General features: G+C 33.8%; 1 protein-coding gene across 3 annotated transcripts in view, besides 1 other annotated feature; it reads right to left on the bottom strand.

Moving 5' to 3' along the window:
* ZNRF2 (zinc and ring finger 2) overlaps positions 1-15,939 on the bottom strand; it is an 83,093-nt gene that overhangs the window by 8,227 nt on the left and 58,927 nt on the right. For 2 of the 3 annotated variants that reach the window (NM_147128.4, XM_047420048.1), the window contains exon 3: positions 3,630-3,735. In NM_147128.4, coding sequence (NP_667339.1) covers positions 3,630-3,735 — 106 coding nt within the window. Of the gene's footprint in view, positions 1-3,629; positions 3,736-8,625; positions 8,703-15,939 lie in introns of all 3 variants that reach the window. The other variant, XR_007059991.1, reaches the window with a different exon arrangement.
* Positions 11,016-11,310: a silencer, noted in NCBI's record as "tiled region #6335; HepG2 Repressive non-DNase unmatched - State 7:EnhWF, and K562 Repressive DNase unmatched - State 5:Enh". NCBI's record gives its function as "represses a minimal TATA promoter and a strong SV40 promoter by Sharpr-MPRA in HepG2 and K562 cells {active_cell/tissue: HepG2 | K562}" and the evidence as "EXISTENCE:reporter gene assay evidence [ECO:0000049][PMID:27701403]".

Raw genomic sequence — 15,939 nt, 5'->3', positions numbered from 1 at the left:
TCTCCCATTTACCAAATGCAATGAGTTCACTGCATTACAGAAAGTCATAGAGGGAGAACGCTATTTCCAATACCAAACCTCTTTTATTATGTGTGTTGAAAAACAATCCTAGTATAAAGTCTAGTTTTTTACTTTTTTGCTGGGTCATGATACAAATAAGTTTTAAATTTTAATATAGCCAAATTTATCAATCTTGAAATTATTTTTTGGGGAGAAGTGTATCCCAGACAAAAAATAATTCTCTACCAAGAAGTCAAAAACATTTCCACGATTTTCTTTCCTCACCACTTTAGATTTTGGTTCCAGAGGCAGGTATTTAGTCAACCTGGAATTGACTTTTATTTCAAATGCAAGATAAGGACTCAACTGTTTTTCCATATCAATAACCAATTGATCCCAGCACCATTTATTGAATAGTTCATTCTTTCTCTCCTATACTGTAATTTCGTCTCTGGCAAATCAATTTTTTTCATTTATTCAACATTTATATAGCATCTATTATGTATGTGCCAGCACTTGTTTATACCCTTATACTCTATGAAGTTGTTTCTATTGTCTTCATCTTATGAATCGAGAGAGAAAAAAACTAACTTGAGAGAAAAAAACAACTTGACCAAGATCACACAGAGAATCAGTGGAGGAGCTGGGATTCAAATGCTGAGTGTCTTGACTTCAAAGTCCATGCTCTTAACTCTCATGCTATGCTGTCTCTCCAGATAGGCACAAGTGTTTATGGACTCCATTCCGTTCCACTGGCTCACCTGTGCCATTTCCATACTGTCTTAATTAATATGGTCTTATAATAAATCTGTACAGGACAAGTCCCACCAACATGGTGTTCTTCTTCATGAGTGTCTTAACTGTTCTTGGCCCTTCACTCATTGGTTCCCATGCAGTTTTGGCAGCAACTTGTCAAGTTACATGAACTAACCAGTTGAGATTTGACTAAGGTAGTATTAACTATATAGATCAATCTGAGGTAAAATGACATCATTATGACACTGAGTCTTTCTATCCACAATATGGTAGATGTCCAGATTAATTTCAGATTACCTATATCTTTCAATAAAGTTTTCAAATTTTATCTAAAGTCTTACATATCTTTTATAAAATTTAATCCTTATAAGCCTTATAGTCCTTTTAGTCTCTGTTGACATTAATGTTATAGTTTAAGAGATATTTCCTTTTTTCTTGTTGCAATATGAATGCAACTTATTTCCATAGGTTGATCTCATATCTGGCAACCCTGCTGAACTCTCACAAATTTTAATAATTTATCCAATATTTATTGTTAGCTTTTATTTTTAAATCATTAATATGCAAGGATAGAATTTTACTGAAAGCTTTCTCACATTTATTGAGTTAATGTTTCTTTCCTTTGTTAATGTAGTAAATTACATCTATACATTTTCTGTCTTACAGTTTCTTTGCATTCCCTAGCATAAATGCAACTTGGTCATGAGGCATTATTTTAGATATATATTGTTAGATACTTATTGTTGAGTTGGGTTTGTTGATATGTTTTTGGACTGTTATATCTATGTTCATGAGACTGTTTTCTAATTTTCTTTCCTGTACTGTCCTTATCTGAGTTTGTATCAAGTTTATACTTTTCTCATAAAATAAATGGGAGAACCTTCCATCTTTTTCTACTTCTTGGAAGAATCTAAGGTTGTTAGCATGGTGTTCTTTGGATATCTGGTAGAACTCATTGTTACATTGTCTCTATAGGCCTGTTTTTTCTCATTATTTTTAATTTCTTCTGTGTCTGAATTCACATTCCTCATTTTTTCAGAACAATCCTGTTCTGAACCAACTGGTGGTCTGTGGGTCTCTAGTGTGTCATTTTAAAATTTATTTTCTTCTCTGATCTTCACTATTTTTTTCTATTTTCTTTGTGTTTATTCTCCTGTTACTTTTCTGATTTCTTAAGTAAGAAACTTGGCTTATTGGGTTTTCAGCCTTTCTTTCTACTGTAACATGAACCTTGTGAGGATCACTCTAGGTACTTGCCAAAAACATCACTGTTATTCAGTTCTGAGTATTTCCTTCATTCCATGATGATTTTTTCTTTGATCCACAAGTTACTCAAAAGTATGTATGAGGGTTATTTATCTTTTTATTAGTGACATCTAATAGTAGTCAGTGTACAGCATCCTATATGGTACCAATTCTTTGTACTTTGCTGCGATTTGCTTTATGTTCTAGGACATGATCAATTTCTATAATACTTCATGTGTGGTTGAAAAATATGTATTCTCTAATCAATTGATGGGCACAGATACAAATACATATACACATCAGTTAGATCAAACTTAACTGCATTGCTCTATTTTTCTAGGTCTTGATTCATTTTTTGTGTATGTGGCTTGACTCAATGAAAGGCGTAGTGAAATGTTCCATTATGATGATAAATTTGTCAGTTTCGTCTGAGGGTTTTATAAATATTTTGAGATGTTATTAGATACATAAAAATAGAATGTTATTCCCAGCACTTTGGGAGGCCAAGGCGGGCACATCATGCGGTCAGGAGATCAAGACCATCCTGGCTAACACGGTGAAACCCCGTTTCTACTAAAAATATAAAAAATTAGCCGGGCATGGTGGCAGGCGCCTGTAGTCCCAGCTACTCGGGAGGCTGAGGCAGGAGAATGGCGTGAACCCAGGAGGCGGAGCTTGCAGTGAGCCGAGATCACGTCACTGCCCTCCAGCCTGGGCAACAGAGCGAGACTCCGTCTCAAAAAAAAAAAAAAAAAAAAAAAATACAATGTTATATACTTTTTGTCATTCTATAGGAATTCTATCCCTAATAATGCTTTTTGCTGTAAAGTTTGCTTTGTCTAATACTAGTTTAGCTTTGTAGTTTCTTTTAGTTAATATTTGCCTGGATATAGTTTTCTATCCTTTTACTTTCAAATGTTATGTATACTTATGTTCAAATGTGTTGTTTATCAACTACCTATCCCAACCTTTCAATCTGTTTTTCAACCAGTGGGTTTGTTCTATGTGTATTTATTATAACTGATATATTTGGATATATTTTTGTATCCATATTTTGTTTTATTTCCTCTGTTTTCTCTAAGTTTTCCCCCACCTCATCTTAACTTAAGTACTGTATTTTCATCAGGTTGAAAGTTATAGTTTTCTTTTTGTGGTTACCTTAAACTTTTTTTTTTTTAACCCCAAATTTTTCCTGTATCACTCTAAAAGCAAGAAGACCATATGAGAAAGCAGACAGGTTTTGGAGTCAAGCAGATTCCAAATCTACTGGAATCTCAACTCTGCCATTTACTAGCCTTGTAACCTTGGGGCAATTCCATACTGTCCCTTAGCTTATTTTCTCAATTGTAAAATGCAATGGTTACAAGGCTTACATGAGATAATTTATTCAAGAAGCTATGGACAACAGCTGGGTCATAGCAAATGCTTTAAAAATAGTAGCCTTTTGGATACAAACAGATGTGGGTTCAAGTCTTAGTTCAAATAGAGAAAAAAGATCATTAAGTTTTAAGAAGTGTGTGTGAGACAGGGAGGGGGTGGTTTCAACGAAGATTCCTTTTCAGCCCTAATTACAATGTCTGAAACTGTGAGAACAATCTTTTACTCTAATACCAACTTGGTGAACTTACCCTTTATGATATATGCATAGACAAGGCAGTCGTGCTATAGTATCTCCCTGCTGCAATTCTTCAAGGCATATTGCACATTCCCCAGCATCTTTACTCAGTACATCCTCTGAAGAAAGAGAAAATGAATTCAGGACAATAAAATTATCCATCAAATTGAAAAAAGAATTACGTGAATGCTAACTGATAAAAAGTTGTGATTCCACCTTACTTGGCATATCTTTTCGCCAGAAATACATAAAACTCAGCACGTGTATTTGAAATACTATTCATAAATGACTGAATAATGTTTACCTTTACTTCCATTGTCTCACGTTTTCATTTCTATTTTATTGAAGCATTACAGTAAGCAAAAACAGTACAGAATCACCCAAATTGGGCAGATTTTGCTCTATAACTTTATCAATAAGCTAGTTATTTGTACCATGAATTTATTTTCCTTTAGTGTGACCAAGATAGTTCAAAGAATTTTACAGTGTAATGTGGCTAAAAAGACATGAAAATAAAATTATAATTTTAAAAATTATAAAATAATAAAATTGGGTAAGTTCAAGAAATCACCCCAAATGTGGGACTTTTAAAAAGTTGCTTAACTCAAGAAAATGCAAAGGAATATCAAAACTTTTGTATAGATTCTGAAAGAGACTTTTGGAAATCTGAGGATTTCAGAACTGGATGCAGCAATTCTTCATAATCTTTTTCCATGACAATGGCAAGCCTACTCCAGGCATTAATTAGAGTGGCTTCCAAAAGGATCTGCAGGGTATTTAAAAACAAACAAACAAAAAACTCTATGGTGTGCTTAAAATCTTCAAGGGTAAATCTCTTTATAATGCAAATGTTCCTTTTGAAAAAATGTTAAGGTTCTCTCAATCCATGTTTTATACTGAAAATTTAAATTATATTCTAATGCTAAATTTTAATTTTTAAAAGCAGTTTGCTTAAAATAGAGTATGTAAGCCAGATTTACTTTGTGACTGTTTTTTAAATGCAGAATAAAACATGCCATTACTGAAGAACATGGACAAACTGCTCCAGAGTATATGTTCTTCGTTTACAGAATGGAAAGCTAAAGCAGGAACATGCAATATGAATTTATATTATAAATAAACAAATTACTGCTTTTCAAAATAAAAAATCAAATATGCTAAACGGTAAAGACTGCATCAATCTCTACGTAAATTCTGAAAGAAACAGAAAGGCAGGGACATTTTCTAAAGTTAAGTATTTGTTTGATATGCCCATTCCTCCTATAAAAACCAACCAACAAATTTGATTGTGTACATTATCTGTAAGAGTACCCTGCAGAAAAATTCATTCTATAAGAAGTGGTTCTTCCCTTTAATTATTCATTTGAGACTGCACATTAAGAAGGAACACAGACTCTATTTGGTCTACATAAGAGAAGATACCAGGAGATGATTTACTCAGAATGCTGGAGGAGGTAACAGGGCACCTTCTGCAGAATAAGCAAAGGCCTCAGCAAGAAGGGTTTATATCAGCTGAATGGACTGAATACGTTAGGAGTGATTTGAGCTAACTACTGGGCAGCTCACAAGCTAATATATTACAGTCAGAAACTTAAGCAGGTAAAGATTTCTGGACAAGCAAAGCTGGATAAACGGAAAATGTTATTACCACTTCCCTGAAGTGCCCTCCCTTTCCCCATTTTTTTTTCTCTTGGCCCTAGAGATCCTACCCACTACTCCTACCCCATCCTGCACCCCATGCCTTTTCTCATTCTCTTGATCTCCATTTTTCTCTTATTGTTCTAGTATCTTTCAATAGGAGATTCAGATAGGGAACAAGTTTAACGTGAAGCATCTAACTGATAGCAGTGAGAACAAAAAGAAAAAGGATCTAAAGGAGACACTAAAAAAACCTGGTAAAGGTCTATAATTCCAAGTAATATGGTATATTCTCACCACTTACGTATTTTTTCATCACAAAGGTATACCATTCTTATCAAAGAATTATGTGAGTGTAAGTTTCACAACCACCTTCAAAAAGTTAACCACCACTTTTTATCAAACCTAAAACATCAATGGTCATAATATGCACCATTAGCTTTATATACCACCAAGTAAAAAAAAAATGCTTCCACCAAACTATGATGCAACATCGATTTTAGACGCATCTCATTTTCAGAGCTCTTCAAAGTCTTTGAGATGAGAATATTTTAAAAGGTCTACATTTTATCCTATTTATAAGAAAATTTATAGTACAACAAAGACAAATCCAACCTGCCTATAATTAACAGAATGATACATATTTTAAGAACACAATGCTATTTTAAAATTGACAGGGGCGAGACTTATCCCTCAGATGCTTTGCAGGTACTAAGTTTAAACAATCTTTTTAGTGTAATTCAGAATGCTGGGTTAAAGTCATTTAAAAAATAAGCTCCCTTAAACCCTAGCAATAAAAAATAATCAGAACTGTACTTCAGAATTGTATTTTCTGTTCAAGAAAAGTATACCTGTATACAAAAACATCCCGAACACACTGATTTCAGTGCAGAAACAGCCTAATATCCACTAAAAATAGCTTCTAGTGACATAATCTCTGCTCAGAAAATTAAAAGCTAATGTTAACATATTGTAGCCACTGATCAGTTGCATTTTGATAAGCAACTCTGAGTTAGAAGATAGTTCACTCTGACTTCAAAACCTCATGATTACAGCTTCACATAGCAAATGCTTAATTTTCACATTTTAAAGTCTTGTTTCCACTAGAATGTGTCTTTGTATGTTTAAAAATATTTTCAGTTTTGAAAATTCACTGTGGAATGTGATTAATTTTTGCCTACCTGGGGGTTTGCTAGAGTAGTCCCCTCTCTCACCCCTATAATGACACTTTCATTCAGAGGAAAGTTTTGAGCTTTTGCCTTCACATAGGTAACTACATTTCACAATTGTGAAAGACTTGTTAGTAATGTGATACATTCATACTTAAAAACAGGACCTGGAAATACCACTAAACCCAGGATACTAAAGCATCTTCAAGACAGTTGGGAAAAGATTAAAAATCTAAAGATCAGTTGAAAACATTTATGAAGATAACACCCACAGGGATTAAGGAGTCAACACTTCAGAACTGGAATATCTTGGGGTAGACTACTAACTAGCCAAAACTCATTAAAGAAGCAGAGAAGGGAACACTCACAGATTTAACTACCATAGTTGGCTAGTCTGGATTCCTCCTCCACAAGCTATGATCAATGGAGACACAAGAGATTGTCAACAGGGAACTAAACATGTTGCTTTTTAAAAAGTGTTATTGCTCATACCTCAACATCTAGAGTAGTAAAAGTTAAATGAGCGCATTGCTTATCAGTTTAATGCCTTGTCTTATTCATGTAATCTATGCATTAATTTAGATGTACTGATTACAGGAAAAGAAAAGTTAAAAGACTGGAAAAGAGCAATGATTACGATTTTTAACCAGAAGTGGGCACTAGAATCACTTCAATGGGTGCATTTTCAACATATACCAAAAAATTATATGTACCTGAGTCCCACCCCTGGAGATTCTGAAATATATGCCTGCCTCACAAATGCGACTGCTATCAAAGAATAGCTTGTTTAAGTAGAAAGAGCCTAAGATTTAAAGTTGAAAACTTAATATGAATTTCCATTCTCACGAACAAAAATGTTCGTCAACCTCAAGTTTCCTTTTATTCTTCTGTTAAAAGTACTCAAAATATTAGAGATGAAATTTTAAAGAATTGTGTGAAAAAACTTTATAAGTTATAAAAAAACACTATACAAAATGTTAGTTATTATCAGATAGTACTTCATGCACCTCTCCAAAAACAAAGTCAGTCATCTTCCTATTTCTTTTTCTCTCCATCTTGGTATTCCACTTGTTTCAAACCTGAACAATGTCATCAAATAACTCCATGAAGACCAGGAACTTAGGCGCCTATTATAACTGCCAGGCTGGGAACAACTCCAAGCATATGACACTGTCTAATTAATTTATGTTTTGGCTTCATTCTATATTTTAAAAGGATTAAAAACGTGTACTTTTTAATGTGCTTTTGACATATTTAAGTCACATGTTAATCCTATGAAGTAACTATTGTTACCTTCATTTTACACATAAGGAAACTGAGGCTCAAAGAAGTAAAGTAACTTACCAGAAGTTACTAAACTACTAAGTCCTGAGGTCAGGATTCAAATTTAGACTAAGTCCTTGGCATTTTTCCTACTTCATGAATTCTGCTACAAGAAACAATTTCACTTTAAAGCAACGTAAATACCAAAGCAACTGGACTGTTTTAAACAACTAAGTTTTAAATACTCAAGCTACATATTTAGAGGAAGTACTCTCAAGACTGGTCACACGCTTTATCTTCTGGATAAAATAACTGAAACGACCTTACAATTAACTGCTTACACAATTTAAAACAGCTCTGTCCAATAGAACTATGGACGGTGATGAAAAAACATCTTTTATCTGTGCTGTCCACAATGGTAACCACTAGCCACATATGGCCTGAAAACAGCACTTGAAATGTGGCCTGTGCAACTGAGAAACTGAATTTTTAATTTAATTTTGGTAAAATATGAAACCTTAAAATATATAATAGGTAATGAATATACATTTATAAACTAGTTACAAACTTCTGTTACTTGATATTTCACTTACAGCTTCTCAAGCTCTTAAAATTTGCATTGTCCAAAGAAATTACTTAAAATTCAAGCAGCCAAATATGCAAAATTAAAATACTTAGCAGGTCCAAGCACATATCCATATAGTTATTGCAGATCAAGACGACATGGAAAAAAAAAAAAGCAAACAGCCAAAATTCTTTAAAAAAAAAAACAAAAAACCAAACCAACAAATAAGACTGAATTTGTTAGGCAGCCAAGGAAACTTCATGCGAAAATTTCATAATCATCACAACTTTATTTTCAGATCAAGCATCCAAACAGGTATATGATCTTTTCAGCAAAATACAACGCCAAGCGCTATTATGGATCAGGCATTTTACCTGAAGACTTATTTTTTGTTCTTGAACCCTCAATGATAGCAGTAGAAAACAAAAGCAGCTGAAATGTGAAATAATCCCTAGAAAAATCAAGAATTAAAAAAATTTACAACATTAGTGAAAAGCAATTACTCAAAGAACAAAAAGTTGGGGCTCACAAGTTTTAATAATAAATACTTTCAGATATTAAGTTATCTCTTATACGTATAAAAGAACGTAACATTAACTAATTCTTTCAATTACAGATCCATGAGCTATTACTGTACTCAAATATAAATAGGCTTAGAAATGATATTTAACAAAGGGAAGTTGCCATTTTCACTGTAAGATAAATATATCAGTAAAAATATGGGAATAACGTTTATTAATCTGGGCTTCTCTGCCTAGATGCCACTGAAAATTACTTTTTCAATGCCTCTCTAGTTTAAATGTAACTAAGAATTGATCGTTAAACATGTAGCTACTCTTCATCTGCACTGTTAGAAACTTAATGCAAAATTAAGACTATTCTTTAGGAGGAAATAAAATTTGTTACTCTTTTGATGATGACTTTTTAAAAAAAGTTTATACTCTTGGGAATATTCTGGAAATCGAAATTCGGTGAATTCGCCAAGAAAATGTAACTAAAATAAAATGGAACACAAATCACAAACTCTAAAAGCTACAATATACAAAAGGAGCACTAATTCCACACCTAGACATAGCTTTCTTGGGCCTTTTTGCTCCTAACTTACCTTAAAAAGCTAACTCAGGATTAAGTATTTTATAAGTATTGAGTATTTACCTAACAAGCCACAAGTAGTCACACAAGTTGTCTAGGAAATTATTAGATTACCAAGTTATTTCCCAACCATGAAATCAAACTAAGATAATTTTCCTATGCCCTCTCATTGTCACAAATCAACAATAAACTAAAACTTAAAATCAATTACACTGATTTGTTAAAACCTAAACAAATATTTTCCTAAATGAGTTGTCTACATGAACAAGAAAAAAAATGGAACTATTGAATACAGACCAAAATAGAATAAAGTATACTTTGAAGTAAAATTTCAGGTTCATTTCTATTCAATCACTAGGAGAGAAAAGCACCAGTCCTGAAAACACAACAAAGCTAATATCTTTATCTGATTTTCAAGCTTATTACTGTATACTTTTAAAATTAGACAAATGTTTAAATTTTAATGTATGTAGGCTCATAGTGGCAATAAAAGAGTCCAGCAATCTGGGTAATACGTAGCAATTTTTTTTTTTTTAATTTACAGTTTAGTTTCAAACTCCAACTCTTCCAATTTATTATGGAATATAACAGGATAACAGTACCTACCTCACAGGGTAGTGGTAGAAATAAATAATACCTCTCAAATGCCTAGTGAGATACCTGGAACAGAGCAGGTATGTTCTGAACACTAGCTACGTGATTATTCGCAAGAAGGGAGTCTGAGTTTGTTTTCTGCAATCTTAAGTGGTAATAATGATAAAACCTGCTTGACCTGTCTCTTAGGATCCTTGTGAAGATCTTAGGAGATAATGCAAATGAAGGCAGTCTCATGGAAAAAGAACAGGCTTGAGCTTTGGACAAGTCACAAACCTCTTTGAGCCTCATTTTCATAAAATAAATTGCAAGTGATAATACCTACATCTCACATGGTCTTTAATACGGATGATTAAAAATAAATCTAATGAATGTGAAAATGTGTAAAAGGCACTAAATGTTAGCTGATTGTAAACAAAATTTTACTACAGCAATATTGAAATAAGCTGGAAAATGCCAATTCACACAGCTATGACAACATACAACAATAAATATCAAATGTTACATCAGAACTATCATTACATTTATAAATCTGGATTCGATATCATTTTGTTAGAATGAATTTGAGGAGTAGTATTACAATGTGCATATCTACTACTGTTTTTGTTGAAAGTGAAGTATGTAAGTAAGGCTTTTTCTCTTCTGCTTCTTCTAGAGGCTATGAGATAATTAGCAGGCTGACTATAATCAGTATGCATGGGTCACAAACTCAGATGCCTAAAGATGCAGCTCATCTTAACTATTTTATAAGAAAAAAGAATAGTACAATTGTAACAATAAATGCCTGTTGAATTTGGTCTTGGTTTCAGGGATTTTTAGAGAATGGAAGCAAACCGGTACATGTAGTCCTATCAAAAAGGGGCAGCTGCTTTTACGAGTAGAATGCCATGGGAAAATAAAGGCCCAGGGTGGCCAGATGTATATTAAAGCAGGTGGAAATATAGGTATTCAGATGAATATTCTCATTTGTGAATGCTCAAAAAACATTTCTGATGCTGTGTAAGCAAAATAAAACATGGCTGTGAGTCAGATGTGGCCAATCCTTTGCCACCTCTGTATTAAAGAAACAGGGTAAATTCTATGAGGGCAGGGGACCTTGTAGATTTAGCTTATCCCAGCATGCAGCATAGTGTTTTGCACATTCTAAGTGCTCAATAAATATTTTTTGAACAACTAATGAAGCAACCGATCTCAGAAGACTAAGGAAAACACCAAGCAACAAGTGAAGAGCCAATGAACAGAGAAAATGCCCCAAAGCAATGGGTTGTTGTTGCCACTGACTTGAGCACTTTGACTGCTTGTGGTTTTGGTGACTCAGCTGAAGTCAGATCTTTTTTTTTTTTTTTTTTTTAACATTTTTAAGTGTATTGACTTCTTTATACAGGAAGTGCGTGTCAGCCACTCAACCAAAAAGTACTGAATATATAAATGTGCCAAGTTTACCAATAAATGCTTGCATGTTTATTAGTATATGTGGGTGAAGTATTAAAAGTATGTATGAACAGGAAAAATATTTAAAATGTCCATTCCTGAGATATTAAGGCAAAACATAAAATTCTAACATATTTAGAAAAATCAAGTATCTAAGAACCAGCAGCTCTGGCTAAATTAGAACTTATGCAACATGAACAACTGAGAAATCTTTCTTGATCCCCTTTACCTTGCTCCTAAACTACTAAAATAACTGTGACTAATTGCTGGATCCTGGAGAATATAAATCTAGATTCATCTGAAACCTCAGGTAATGTAACCAACCATGTGAAAATCAAGAAACAGCAAGTGTGAAGTTATTTTGTTTTATTTTATTTTTTTTGAGACAGAGTCTTGCTCTGTTACTTGGGCTGGAGTGCAGTGGTACAATCTCAGCTCACTGCAGCCTCTGCCTCCTGGGCTCAAGCGATTCTCCTGCCTCAGCCTCCAGAGTAGATGAGACTACAAGCATGTACCACCATGGATTTTTTTTTCTTTTTAATTGTTCTAAGGAAAGGGTGAAAAACACATTGATTTGGGAAAAGGTTTATTTCTTTTCACTGGACTTGGTCAATGTCCTCTAATCCTTAAACTGCCCAAGCAGTCAGCAGTACCTAAGTGAATCTAACAGAGCAGGGAGGAAGGCTGCTCTCACTGACACTGAAAGCACCAGAAAGAAGCCAGAGTTGGGATGAAAATGAAAACTCTCCCTGCTCCAAGGAACAATTTCCAAATTCAAACAAAAATTCTTCGTGTGACAGGCTACTGACCAACAGGCTCACAAAAGAGAAATAACTTTCATTCTATTTTTTTCTATTTGAGAAAAAAGATAACAGTATGACCGACATAGGTAATGAGAGATTCTGTAACTCGTAACATTATATAACTGAGAAAGATCATTAACTATGTAAGTATATGCAGGAATGGATGAGGGGGAATCACACCAAAAAATTTAAATAGGCACCTACTATAGGGACAGAATAAATGAGGGAAGACAGGAAGGAAGGAGGCAACAATGATGACAACTTTACCAGTAAAAATTCCTAGAATGAAAAAACCCGTAATTTTTCAATTTAATATTTCAGAGGCAGTGAAAAAGTCACTGAAAATAACAAATTAGTAGTCTAGAATAAATATCATGTAAGTAACTCCAAAGAAACCAAAAATCATTAATAAAACTGTAAGAAGACAAATCTAAAAACTCTAATATTAAAATTACAGAAGTCACAGGAAGAATAAAAGGAACAAACAAAAAACAATCAAAGAAATACTAGAAGAAAGTAATCCCTAGGCTAAATAAGACTTGATTTTAGACTGAAAGGGCTCATGAAGTCTCAAGCAGGATGAATTAGAGATAGGAATAGAGTGAAAAAACACTTAAATAGATGCAGGATTAATTAGAGATGGGAGTACGGTGAAAAAACAAAAAAATTCTGGCTTTCAAAAATAGAAATTATGTTGTAAGCTTCCAAATGGAAAGACTAGGTTATTAAAATTAAAAAAAAATAGTGAGACAAAGCCAGACTTCTTATCTACAATACTGCAAGTTAAAAAGTAGAATAACTTTGGCCAGGCACAGTGGCTCATGCCTATAATCCTAGCACTTTGGGAGACCGAGGCAGGCGGATCACCTGAGGAGTTGGAAAACAGCCTGGCCAACATGGTGAAATGCTGTCTCTACTAAAAATACAAAAATTAGCCAGGCGTGGTGGCAGGCACTTGTAATCCTAGCTACTCAGGAGGCTGAGGCAGGAGAATTGCTTGAACCTAGGAGGCAGACGTTGCAGTGAGCCAAGATCGTGCCACTGCATTGCAGCCTGGGCAACAAGAGCAAAATGCCACCACACGCACAAAAAAAAAAAAAAAAAAAAAAAAAAAAAAAAAATCAGACTTAACAGAAAAAAAAAAACACTGAAATTAAAAATCCTATATACACCCAAGATAGCATTCATATGTAAAGGCAAATGAAAAAATATTTTGGGCGTCTAATAGCTCAGAAACTATACTACCCATTAAGACTGTCCAACGAAAATTACTCATGGAAGAGCTCCTAACAAACAAAAATTATAGTAAGAATGAAGATCTCAGTAACAGAAAAATAAAGAGTGTAAACAACAGCAGAGAGCAAGAAAACATGTATAAGCGAAATTAAATCTAAATAGATAATGCTGTATCTGGAACTGTAACGCAACTATGGGTTTTTGAAACAAAAGCAATATTCTGCCAGTAAAAACTTAATGTGAAGTCTAAATTATCTCCTAATAACTAGGACTTGAAGAGAGAGGCAGTGGAGGGTGGGGGAAGTGAACAAGTGTATCAGGGGAAGAACTCAGAGACAATCCCTCATTCTGACAGAATAAAATAACCATGTTTAATGATATACACTAAAGTAAGGTAACCACTAAAAGAACAAAAAGGTGCATAATAGAAGTTCTAAATTAATCTGGAGGAAAGGAAAGCAACTTGATCCAGAAAAGGCTAGGAAGAACAAAGTAAATAATAAATAATTTAAAAAAAAAAGAGAAGGACCACCACCAAATTTACTAGTTAAAATACAAATGTGTAGGTTCTGAATGGTATAACAGAACACTATATATCCACTATCTAGCCTCAATAAATCAACATATTTACCATGAATACTAAAGAAAATAAGGAAGCAACTGTCCAAAAGCACATACAAGGATGAGATCACAAATGAGGATGAAACCTGAAGGGAAGGGGAAAAAAAAGCTATTACAAAAATGAAGGTAAAACTAGAAGAAGCACTAGAAGAAATCACAGGAACATCAAGGGGTAGAAATGAGAAAAATAAATAGAAAATGAAGAGTTAAGAATTAGAGGGAAAAAAATGTTCTCTACAGAGAACGAGAAAAGGAAATGCAGTAATGCCTATCTGTAGTCAAAAATAATATTCAAGAAAACATTACAGAAATAAAAGTAGATCTAGATCTACATATTGAAAGGGCACACCAAGTCCTAAAAACTGACCCAGAAAAAATCAACACAATTTCAACCCTAGTTGATACCGGTCATAAAAAAGAGTTCTTTGGGCATTCTGGCAAAAAGACTAAGTCAATTTTAAAAGGAGGACAAATCAGGTGGTTTCAGACTTCTCCACAGAAACACATTATTATACTTGTAAGACCAGAAGAATGCTTAAAATGTCCTCAAGTAGAGAAGGTATAACCCAAAGATTTCATACCCAGTTAAACTGTTATTCAAAAAACAAAAAGACACATAGATAAGCAGTCTGTGTTAAACATGCAAGAAATCTAGGTAATTATTTCCCATGAGCCCATGTGAAAGGATTTCTATGAGGATGAACTTCAGCTAGCCAAGAGACATCTGAAAAAACTAAAGCAAAAGGATTAGCAGTGGCAGCTGAATCTACGTAATGGTAAGATTAAAACAAAAGTGGGAACATTGATTAGATAATGTATAAAGTATCTACCTAGCAAAAATTAAAAGAGGTGAGGATGGATGGGGGGAAGATGATATAAATAACTAGGTGTCAAAAAGTATTATTTAAAGCTAACAAAGCAAAGAGAAGTACAAAAAAAACTTAATAGTATAAAAGCAAACATTAGGTAATGTAACAACTAAAATTAGAACACGGGAAGGAAGGAGAAAAATAGGAAATACACTAATTTCATTATTGCTCATAGAAAAAAACAGTATCTAAAAATAAGAGGTATTCTATAAAATTATAAAAGTAATCACTAAACACAGAAATACAGTTATAAGAAATACAATTAGAAACACCACAGTTATTTCTAATCAAAAGAAACAACACAGTTATTTCTAATTAAAAAAAAAAAAAGAAACAAGAGCTGGGGCCGGGCGCAGTGGCTCACGCCTGTAATCCCAGCACTCTGGGAGGCCAAGGCAGGCAGATCACCTGAGGTCAGGAGTTCGAGACCAGCCTCGCCAACATGCTGAAACCCCGTCTCTACTAAAAATACAAAAATTAGCTGGGTGTATGATGGCAGGCGCCTGTAATCCCAGCTATTCGGGAGGCTGAGGCAGGGGAATCGCTTGAACCTGGGAGGCAGAGGTTGCAGTGAGCCGAGATCGCGCCACTGCACTCCAGCCTGAGTGACAGAGCAAGACTCGGTCTATTAAAAAAAAAAAAAAAAAAAAAAAAGCTGGCCACCCAGTGAAACATTTTTAAAAAGTCATGAAACCAGAAAGTATAATGACAGAATTAGCACTGACCATATTAAGAAATATAAATGGGCTAAACCAACAAAAACAAACAAACAAAAAACAAAGATTAGATTGGATTGCAAACAAAATCTAACCCTGTACTGTGTATACAAAAAGCATATAAGAAACAAAAAATATTCAGGAAATGAAAATGAAAAAAAAAACTTATCAGGCAAATACAAACTAAAAGAAAGAATGAATTACAATCTTACTATTGACAAGGTTGAACATAAGGCATAAACATTAAAGGAGACAGAGGAGCTTTTATAATATTAAAAAATGCAATTTGCACCCAAGTTATAATAGTTATGTTTATACCCATATAA

The sequence above is a fragment of the Homo sapiens genome, chromosome 7, assembly GCF_000001405.40.
Source record: "Homo sapiens chromosome 7, GRCh38.p14 Primary Assembly".
NCBI lineage: Eukaryota > Metazoa > Chordata > Mammalia > Primates > Hominidae > Homo > Homo sapiens.
Note: the sequence above shows the minus strand (reverse complement) of the source record. Positions and strands in the feature narration are given on the sequence as shown.